Consider the following 11812-nt stretch of genomic DNA (forward strand, 5'->3'; position numbering starts at 1 on the left):
GGCAAGCAATATGCCAAGATTTTTGCTGTGTTCCTTAAAGGTCACATTATGGCAAGGACACTGAAGCTCTCTAGATTAGATCTCTAGAAAATAATAAACGTCATTCTTTCTTCTTCTGTCACCTTCCTGTGTGTGTCTAAGACTCAGGCTTAATTGTCTACTTCCTATATAAATTCAGTTCCATGCCATGTCCCATGCCCTGCTGGCTTTATCCCAGACATGAAGTGCCCTGGCTTACTCAGAAAGATGAGTGCAGGCCCCTCTTCCTTGGCTTCTACCTAAGGCCAGCAGAACTCCTGAGCCTGTGCTCTAGGGGAGGAGCAGGGCTGGGGTACACTGAAGGTATTCTGACGCCTGCTTTACTTGTCACTGTTGCTTCCCTTCCAGTAATTTCCAAGGCAGCTTTCTTGGAAAAGAAACCTGCTTTAATTAAGAACCCCTGGAAATTCTGAGCAATGTTCTACTTAAACCTAGCAAAACCCTACTTGCAACAGAGAACAGGGGAGAAAGGGTGGGTAGGAGGACTGATGGAAATGGCTCCACATGATTTGATTCTGTGACCTTCAAAGTCTGAAAAAGAAAATCAGGTTGATTCATAAACAACTAGGGACTAAAATACTTCTGGCTTCCTTTTATTGTACTTCTGGGAACCAACCGATTATGTTTAGAACTCTGGGTGACTGGAAGGGTTTTGTTGCTTTTTTTTAAAGCTGGTCCTGAAACCATAATCAGTTTTCTAGGCTGTTCATTTTGGCATGTGCAGGTTGAACTTTTGTCACTCAATCACAAAGGCATGGAAGATGTTCAGTTTCAAAGAAGGAAGCCAATCCGTGACCAAGGCCACCAAATCCAACACCAAAAACAAACACAAAGGGCTGCATTCCCACACGTCACCACTGGCCCATTTCCAGAGCAGATCCTGACGGATGAGAGGCAGCAGGGAGGAGATGCTGGCTTGCTGCAGGGTTTAGCAGTTAATCTCAGGTGGCTGAAGCATGCCTTGTGCTTCAACCGAAAGGACTGAGACACGGAGATATTAAACAAAGCCTGTGTAACCCTTAAACAAACAGAGAAGGGAGCCAAGAATTGCTGTAGTCATAATCCCTTATTCTACAGCATCCACGGTGTTCAAGGCATCTTCATCAACAGTATGTGTTTTGATTGATTCCTCATTATAATCCAAGCAGTTATTATTAATATTTAGCCCCATTTCTCAAAGCTTTGTGGCTGAAAGACTGCCAGGACCGACGTTCTTTCTAGAAAAAAAAAATAGGTATTCTAAAAACAATTAGAGAAAACTTTAGACATCCCTCCCACAAAAGAGAAACTTTCCCCACCCATGCTGCAGGTCCAGAAATGTGCCCACTGCCATTATCCTTCTAAAACACATGCACACAAGTACTGAAGAGTAATTGTTTTTTATACTTTGTTTCTTAATCTAATGCTTTATACAAGGTCAAAACTTGAAAGATCATCTACAAGGTCTATTAAAAAACACTTTCTTCTCATTTTTGGGTTCTACTAAATTTGGAAATCCAATTTAAAGCCAATAGGTAAGGGAATAATATAGTTTCACACACTTATAATTTTATCTCATCTGCAAAGAAACTTCAAAACTAAATTCCATCCTGGAGTGGAATAACATATGCTTGCCCGTCAGCTATTTGCTAACTCTGTCTAATTTTCAGAAAAAAAGGGTGTTGTTCTGTTTCTAGATGTTTTATTCTGTAGTGTATATAAGGTTGCAATGTATTTAAAAATTTTTTTGGAAATAGATGTGGTATAAATCTTACATAAATAATGACAATTAAGATCTCCAAGAATAATATTATTTTATAGCTAGAGGTTTGGATTAACAGGCAAGAAAACAAAAACAAGAGTTTTCTACCAATGCGCAGGAATTTTGTGTTTTAATTTTCTCATCTACAAGAGGTGGTGCAACAGCGCTGTCCTGGGAGGCAAAGGACCAGGAGTCCAGTCTTCCTATGCTTATACCACATGCAACTTCCAGCAATGCATTCAATCTCTGAATAGTGTCCATCAAATGGGGACTAAAGACACCTTATCTATTTAAAAACAAGGAGTTGGATCAATTTGCTTATAGTTCTTTTATTTCTTAAGATCTATGGATCCTTCCTCAAAACATTTAGCTCTAAAACAATCTTGTAGATTAGGTCAAATGCAAACCACAAAACCATGTCTAGTAGCTTTTTAACAATCAAACCTCCACATGATTTTGCACTGATGCTAGAGAGAGTGAAGAAGGTGGCAGTCTTTCTGTCCAGTTCTCATAAACTATTGCTATTTCTAATAAAGTAACCTAAGCACCTGCTGTGGATAAGGCCCCAGGAAAGAAAAGTTTGCTGCCTCTAGACTAATAAAGAGAACTGACCATTGATCTTAGAGAAATGTTAATTTCCAAGCGAGTATTTTTTAAAACTCCTCCTTTGCTTTTATGTTTCCTAGGTTACCATAAATAGAACCTACACACTTTATTTGTACCATCTTAATGTCTTCGATTGAAGTGCTGTGTCCTTATCCTAGATTCTTAGCTAGTCTCCTAGCTCCTGGAGGAAAGCATCTATTTCTTACTCACCTTTATATCCTACATGACGCTCAACTCAGTGCCCTGCCTGCAGCAGGGACATAGAAAAGGTTGAACTGATTGACCTGACTTCCTAATTACCCAGCTGACTCTTTAGCTTTTGCTAAATGTTTCTTAGTCCTAATTAAGAGCCAAAGCATTAGCTGGGTACGGTGGCTCACGCCTGCAATCCCAGCACTTTGGGAGGCCGAGGCAGGTGGATCATGAGGTCAGGAGATCGAGACGATCCTGGCCAACACGGCGAAACCTCATCTCTACTAAAAAAAATACAAAAAATTAGCCAAGCATGGTGGCGGGTGCCTGTGGTCCCAGCTACTCAGGAGGCTGAGGCAGGAGAATGGCGTGAACCCAGGAGGCAGAGCTTGCAGTGAGCCGAGATTGCGCCACTGCACTCCAGCCTCCAGCCTGGGCGACAGAGAGAGACTCTGTCTCAAAAAAAAAAAAAAAAAGAAAGAAAAAAAGAGCCAAAGCATTGAGAAAATTTGCTAACGACTAAAAACAGCAATACCAAATGTAGCAAGCCCTAGGCTAGCATGTATTATGTCTTTCTCAAGGACAGATGAGAAATATTAAAGTGTTCATCAAAATACTATAAAAAGCTTCATTTCTTCATCTGTTCCTATCACAGATCAGGGATCCCATTTGGAGTTCATCTGCAATTTCAGATTTGCATGAGAAAGGCTTCATTGCAAAGCATCAGCTTCATTTGGCAAATTCAAAGTATCTAGGTAAATTGCTCATTCTTTTTGCATTTGTAAATTCTTTTTCCAAAATTGCTTTTAATAATTTAGTCTAATTCTTACTAAAGGTTTGACTTGGGAATTTTTATTTTTGTTTTTCCTTTTTTTTTGAGAGAGGATCCTTCTCTGTCACCCAGGCTGGAATGCAGTGCTGCAATCATAGCTCACTGCAGCCTTGAACTCCTGGGCTCAAGTGACTTGGGGGTTTTTAGTGTATTCTGAAGTAGAAGGTGTAGGAAAACAGAAAAAGAATATAATTATCCTTACAAATAAGTGATGCACATAGAAGATATACAGTTTGTTTAATATCTCCAGGGTGGCAGCCAGGAGGCTTAATTTCAGAATTTGGGAAACTTTATATTAACCATAGGGTTCTAGTAGCTGTTCCAGTAGTTTTTCCTGTGGTTTGATATGTCTTCAATAAAGGGATGCCTGCCAATCAGCCATAATACCTCTTTAAACTTTTATAGAATCAATATTACCATTTTGATCCATCAGAGGAAAGCTGTGTGGCTTTTTGCAGAATCCACTCAAGTGTCCTCCTGCCACTCGCCCTCTGCTGGGGCCCAGCCTGAAGCCAGCAAACAACAAAAAAACAAAAACAAAATAAAAGGAACCTCTTCTGGCTTCTTTTCATGTTTACACAATACTGTGGGAATGAGAAGGTAGCTACTCCGTTTGCCAAGCAGAGAAGAGCGATGAAGGATCAGTTATTGTGTAAGAGCGCAGTGTATATAAGCGGATTATTGCTTGCATTCTGTATAAAGTTTTCCTGTAATAACAATGACCGATTTAGTTCATTTCAAGCTATTCATATCCTTGGATTTATTTTTAAGGTGGGAAAGGAACAGCAGAAAGGGTGCCATGGGAAGGAGGGAGAAAAATATAAAACAATACAGCACCCAGACAGACTTCCCAGCGCCACGGCAGAAGCACGCCCAACACATGGCTCTGGGCTGCGATGGGCTGGCCAGATGATGAGCTTCAGGGTCATCAAAGGAGGGAGAAATGAGGGGTTGCCTGAATTTGTGTTGATTGGTGCACTGCACAGAGCAAGGACGAAATGTAAAGCTCAAAGGGAAAGGGTGGAGCCGAAGAGGAATGATATTGCTGCAGAAACTGTGCAGCTCTCGAGGTGTGCGGTGTCACTGGCAGGCAGCCCGTCACCTGGAAGAAAATGTGAAGCATGTTCCCTGCAGACAAGGGTGGTACACTGTAAACAGGCCCGTCGCTCGCTCGCTCGCTCGGGAGACAGGGGAGTTGGTATTTACCTTTCAGAGACCTTGGGTCACCCTGCCTCACCCTGAAAGAAGGAAATGTCTCTCACACTTAAAAATCTTAAGTGCATACCACAAAACTCAAATACAGCCCATGACGGGCAGAGCGCTCAATGAAAGGTGACAGATTTAGCAGAAGCATTTATGTGCTAATAAGTTCTGATGACTTCCAGAGGTTAATTTATGTCCTTTTCCCAGGAGTCAGACTTATTTCCCTATTTAAGAGGTAAATCGATTATTAGAATCAGACTCTTTTTAACCTTCAAAGCAAAAATGAAAATAGGTAATAACTTTCTACCCAGGCGGGCCACCTGCTCCCCAACTATACACAGACAACCTCGGGTGCTAAGAGTGTTTAAACATGTTCATCAGATTCTCCTAAAGCAGTAACAGCCAGGCATGGGCTGAGACAGCATTTTGGAATGTGTTTGAAATGGTGTAATCTTCCATAGTGCCCTATCTTTATTGAGGGAGAAAGAGAGAGAAAACTAATTGAGAAGTAAGAAGTGAGTGGGCAGTTTGGTAGAAGCAGCCACCCATTTGATTTTGTAAGATTTTAAGGAAAGAAAGAAGATTTTAGATGAAAATGTATGACTGCCCCCTTCAATCTCCTTGGGTAGATCTATACCTAATCCAGCTAAATATACTTTTGGCTGGGCGCGGTGGCTCATGCCTGTAATCCCAGCACTTTGGGATGCCAAGATGGGCGGATCACCTAAGGTCAGGAGTTCAAGAACAGCCTGGCCAACATGGTGAAACCCCATCTCTACCAAAAATACAAAAAATTAGCCGGGCGTGGTGGTGCTTACCTGTAGTACCAGCTACTTGGGAAGCTGAGGCAGGAGAATTGCTTGAACAAAGCAGGCAGAGGTTGCAGTGAGCCAAGATTACGCCACTGCACTCCAGCCTAGGTGACAGAGCAAGACTCTGTCTCAATAAATAAATAAATAAACAAACACACTTTTTTTCTTCACTAAAATACTTCACATGATTGGCCCATATTGGAGTTATTTATGTGCCTGTCTCTCCCCCTAAACTACAGGATCTTAGAAGACAGCACACCTTTTGTTTTAATTTTCTTTCACAGTGCCAAGCAAGTTACCTTTCACACAGTAGACATTGAATGAATATTTCCTGATTTAAAAACATGATTTTCAGAAAAAGAAAAAGGGTTTAAATGGGACACAAGAAAAGATAAAGCATCCAAAGAGTTAGATACTGTGCAAACAGACTTGATAAATACCGTTCCAGAAAACCAGCTTCCAAATCAAGGCCTGTTTAAGAAAGAGCATTTTTCGAGAAAAGAAAGAGAAGAAATCTGGGTGAAAATGAAACAGCAGAAACAAAATATTATCTGTTGATATATCATAATATATCCCTTCATTTATGCACAAATAATTTTCCTTCCTACCAGTACCCTCCTCGACACACATACAGACTTATTTAGGATGCATCAGAACCATGCCTATGAGCAGAAGGCAGCGGGTAAGCATTGAGAAGAACTTCAAGTCCACAGGGCCTGGTAAAGGAGGCAGCTGTGAGGCATGGGGGTGACAGTGATGGTCTCAGAACACACTAGTGGTGAAGGCCACACCAGCAAACCATGAGAACAGGATATTGTCAGCAGATGCCTGAGTAGAGGGACATATCTTCAACAGATCAGTATGTATCAATGAATAAAATATAGTACTCAGTGCATAGCATTTTACCTTAAAGATAACTCAGCTGAAATACAAGTCTTCTCTGTCATAAGGGATACCTCTAGGACCAAAACCACCAACCAGAATGGTCAAGCCAGAATTTCCACTATTCAGGTGTTGATCTGATCTCTTGGACAAAGCTTGCTTAAGATCACAGGATTCAGGAGTTTCTCCAGGGAAAAGAGCCTCTGCATTTTATCCACCTCACCACCAGGGCCAAGAACGAAGCCTCATATACCGGCATATCTCACTTTATTGCACTTGACTGATACTGTCTTTTTTTACAAATTGAAGGTCCATGGCAACCCTGCTTTGAGCAAGTCTATTAGCACCATCTTTTTTTTTTTTTTCAACAACATGTGCTCATTTCGTGTCTCTGTGTCATATTTTAGTAATTCTCACAATACTTTAAAATTTTTCATTATTATTACATCTTTTAATGGTATTCGGTGATCAGTGATCTTTGATGTTACTATTGTAATTGTTTTGGGGCACCACAAACCGCACCCATGTATGATGGAAAACTTAATCCATAAATGTTGTGTGTGTTCTGATGGCTCCACCAACCAGCAGCTGCTTCATCTCCCCCCATTCCTCTCTTTGGACCTCCCTATTCCCTCAGACAGAACACTATTGACATGAGATCAAATAATAACCTTAAAATGGCCTCTAAATGTTCAAGTGAAAGGAAAGGTTACATGTGTGCCATTTTAAATCAAAAGCTAGAAATGATTAAGCTGAATGAGGAAGGCATGTCAGAAGCTGAGACAGGCCAAAAACTAGGCTTCTTGTACTCAATAGTCAGCGCAGTTGTGACTGCAAAGGAAAAGTTCTTGAAGGAAACTAAAAGTGAATACACAAATGAAAAGGAAGTGAAGCAGCCTCCTTGCTGATATGGAGAAAGTCTGAGTGGTCTGGGTAGGAGGTCAAAACAGCCACAACACCCTGTTAGCCAAAGCCAGGTTTGAGCAAGACCCCAACTCTCTTCAATTGTGAGGAAGCCACAGAAGAAAAGTGTGAAGCTAGCACAGGCTGGTTCATGAGGTTTAAGGAAAGAAGCCATCTCCACACCATAAAAGTGCAAGATGAAGCAGCAAGTGCTGATGGACAAGCTGCAGCAAGAAGTCCAGGAGATCTAGCTAAGATCATGGATGATGGTGACTATTCTAAACCACAGATTTTTAATATAGACAAAGCAGCCTTATATTGCAAGAAGATATCGTTTCATAGAGCAGAAGTCAATGCCTGGCTTCGAAGCTACAAAGGGCAGGCTGATTTTGTGGTTAGGAGCTACTGCAGCTGGTGACATTAAGTTGAAGTCAGTGCTCTTTTACCATTCCAAAAATCCTAAGGTCCTTAAGAATGATGCTAAATCTACTTTGCCTGTGCTCTAGAAATGGAAGAACAAAGCCTGAATGATAGCATTTCTGTTTACCGCATAGTTTTCTGAATATTTTAAGCCCACTGTTGGGCCTACTTCTCAGAAAAAAAATTCTTTTCAAAATATTACTGCTCATTAACAATGCATGTTGCCACCCAAGAGCTTTGATGGCAATGTACAAGGAGATGAATGTTGTTTTCAGGCCTGCTAACACAACATCCATTCTGCAGCCCATGGATCAAGGAGTAATTTTGTCTTTCAATTTTCATTATTTAAGAAGTACATCTTATGTCCATTCCAAGATGGCCGAATAGAAACAGCTCTGGTCTGCAGCTCCTGGCATGATCAACGCAGAAGATGGGTGATTTCTGTATTTCCAACTGAGCCGCCGCTGGTGATACCCAGGCAAATAGGGTCTGGAGTGGACCTCCAGCAAACTCCAAGAGACCTGCAGTGAGGGACCTGACTGTTAGAAGAAAAACTAACAAACAGGAAAGAATAGCATCAACATCAACCAAAAGGACATCTAAACCAAAACCCCATCTGTAGGTCACCAACATCAAAGACCAAAGGTAGATAATACCATAAAGATGGGGAGAAACCAGAGTAGAAAAGCTGAAAATTCTAAAAACCAGAACTCCCCTTCTCCTCCAAAGGATCACAGCCCCTCGCCAGCAATGGAACAAAGCTGGAAGGAGAATGACACTGACGAGTTGACAGAAGTAGGCTTCAGAAGGTTGGTAATAACAAACTTCTCCAAGTTAAAGGAGCATGTTTGAACCCATCACAAGGAAGCTAAAAACCTTGAAAAAAGGTTAGACAAATGGCTAACTAGAATAAACAGTGTAGAGAAGATCTTAAATGACCTGATGGAGCTGAAAACGATGGCACAAGAACTTTGTGATGCATGCACAAGCTTCAGTAGCTGATTCGATCAAGTGGAAGAAAGGGTATCAGTGATTGACGATCAAATGAATGAAATAAAGAGAGAAGGCAAGTTTAGAGAAAAAAGAGTAAAAAGAAATGAACAAAGCCTCCAAGAAACATGGGACTATGTGAAAAGACCAAATCTACGTCTGATTGGTGTACCTGAAAGTGACAGGGAGAATGGAACCAAGTTGGAAAACACTCTGCAGGATATTATCCAGGAGAACTTCCCCAATCTAGCAACGCAGGCCAATATTCAAATTCAGGAAATACAGAGAACGCCACAGAGATACTCCTTGAGAAGAGCAACTCCAAGACACATAATTGTCAGATTCACCAAAGTTGAAATGAAGGAAAAAATGTTAAGTGAAGCCAGAGAGAAAGGTCGGGTTACTCACAAAGGGAAGCCCATCAGACTAATAGCAGATCTCTCAGCAGAAACTCTACAAGCCAGAAGAGAGTGGGGGCCAATATTCAACATTCTTAAAGAAAAGAATTTTCAACCCAGAATTTCATATCCAGCCAAACTAAGCTTCATAAGTGAAGGAGAAATAAAATCCTTTACAGACAAGCAAATGCTGAGAGATTTTGTCACCACCAGGCCTGCCTTACAAGAGCTCCTAAAGGAAGCACTAAACATGGAAAGAAACAACCAGTACCAGCCACTGCAAAAACATGCTAAATTGTAAAGACTATCAATGCTATAAATAAACTGCATCAATTAATGGGCAAAATAACCAGCGAACATCATAATGACAGGATCAAATTCACACATAACAATATTAACCTTAAATGTAAATGGGCTAAATGCCCCAATTAAAAGACACAGACTGGCAAATTGGATAAAGAGTCAAGACCCATCAGTGTGCTATATTCAGGAGACCCATCTCATGTGCAGAGACACACATAGGCTCAAAATAAAAGGATGGAGGAAGATCTACCAAGCAAATGGAAAGCAAAAAAAAAAAAAAAAAAAGAAGGCAGGGGTTGCAATCCTAGTCTCTGATAAAACAGACTTTAAACCAACAAAGATCAAAAGAGACAAAGAAGACCATTATATAATAGTTAAGGGATCAATTCAACAAGAAGAGCCAATTGTCCTAAATATATATGCACCCAATACAGGAGCACCCAGATTCATAAAACAAGTCCTTAGAGACATAAAAAGAGACTTAGACTCCCACACAATAATAATGGGAGACTTTAACACCCCACTGTCAATATTAGAGAGATCAATGAGACAGAAGGTTAATAAGGATATCCAGGACTTGAACTCAGCTCTACACCAAGCAGGCCTAATAGACATCTACAGAACTCTTCCCCTCAAATCAACAGAATAAACATTCTTCTCAGCACTACATTGCACTTATTCTAAAATTGACCACATAATTGGAAGTAAAGCACTCCTCAGCAAATGTAAAAGAACAGAAATCACAACAAACTGTCTCTCAGACCACAGTGCAATCAAATTAGAACTCAGGATTAAGAAACTCACTCAAAACCGCACAACTACATGGAAACTGAACAACCTGCTCCTGAATGACTACTGGGTAAATAACGAAATGAAGGCAGAAATAAAAATGTTCTTTGAAACCAATGAGAACAAAGACACAATGTACCAGAATCTCTGGGAGACATTCAAAGCAGTGTGTAGAGGGAAATTTATAGCACTAAATGTTCACAAGAGAAAGCAGCAAAGATCTAAAATTGACACCCTAACATCACAATTAAAAGAACTAGAGAAGCAAGAGCAAACAAATTCAAAAGCTAGCAGAAGGCAAGAAATAACTAAGATCAGAGCAGAACTGAAGGAGATAGAGACACAAAAAACCCTTCAAAAAATCAATGAATCCAGGAGCTGGTTTTTTGAAAAGATCAACAAAATTGATAGACCACTAGCAAGATTAATAAAGAAGAAAAGAGAGAAGAATCAAATAGATGCAATAAAAAATGATAAAGGGGATATCACCACTGATCCCACAGAAATACAAACTACCATCAGAGAATACTATAAACACCTCTATGCAAATAAACTAGAAAATCCAGAAGAAATCAATAAATTCCTGGACACATACACCCTCCCAAGACTAAACCAGGAAGAAGTTGAATCTCTAAATAGACCAATAACAGGCTCTGAAATTGAGGCAATAATTAATAGCCTAACAACCAAAAAAAAATCCAGGACCAGACGGATTAACAGCCAAATTCCACCAGAGGTACAAAGAGGAGCTGGTACCATTCCTTCAGAAACTATTCCAAACAATAGAAAAAGAGGGAATCCTCCCTAACTCATTTTATGAGGCCAGCATCATGCTGATACCAAAGCCTGGCAGAGACACAACAAAAAAAGAGAATTTTAGACCAATATCCCTGATGAACATCAATGTGAAAATTCTCAATAAAATACTGGCAAACCGAATCCAGCAGCACATCAAAAAGCTTATCCACCATGATCAAGTCGGTTTCATCCCTGGGATGCAAGGCTGGTTCAACATATGCAAATCAATAAACATAATCCATCACATAAACAGAACCAACAACAAAAACCACATGATTATCTCAATAGATGCAGAAAAGGCCTTCAACAAAATTCAACAGCCCTTCATGCTAAAAACTCTCAATAAACTGGGTATTGATGGAACGTATCTCAAAATAATAAAGGCTATTTATGACAAACTCACAGCTAATATCATACTGAATGGGCAAAAACTGGAAGCATTCCCTTTGAAAACCGGCACAAGACAAGGATGCCCTCTCTCACCACTCCTATTCAACATAGTGTTGGAAGTTCTGGCCAGGGCAATCAGGCAAGAGAAAGAAATAAAGGTATTCAATTAGGAAAAGAGAAAGTCAAATTGTCCCTGTTTTCAGATGACATGATTGTATATTTAGAAAACCCCATCGTCTCAGCCCAAAATCTCCTTAAGCTGATAAGCAATTTCTGCAAAGTCTCAGGATACAAAATCAATGTGCAAAAATCACAAGCATTCTTATACACCAGTAACAGAGAGAGAGCCAAATCATGAGTGAATTCCCATTCACAGTTGATACAAAGAGAATAAAATACCTAGGAATCCAACTTACAAGGGATGTGAAGGACCTCTTCAAGGAGAACTACATACAAACCACTGCTCAACGAAATAAAAGAGAACACAAACAAATGGAAGAACATTCTATGCTCA

The 11812-nt window shown here is 40.2% G+C and overlaps 1 long non-coding RNA gene across 1 annotated transcript; it reads right to left on the reverse strand.

Annotated features, from left to right (window-relative positions):
* Positions 1–616: 616 nt before the first annotated feature.
* On the reverse strand, positions 617–5333 carry LOC124904262 (uncharacterized). The gene is made up of 2 exons (XR_007066307.1): positions 3828–5333; positions 617–1256 (listed from the first exon to the last, which is right to left on the reverse strand). It is a non-coding gene; the product is annotated as an uncharacterized LOC124904262 (long non-coding RNA).
* Between the last annotated feature and the right edge of the window lie 6479 nt (positions 5334–11812).

Source organism: Homo sapiens, chromosome 18, assembly GCF_000001405.40.
Source record: "Homo sapiens chromosome 18, GRCh38.p14 Primary Assembly".
Lineage (NCBI taxonomy): Eukaryota > Metazoa > Chordata > Mammalia > Primates > Hominidae > Homo > Homo sapiens.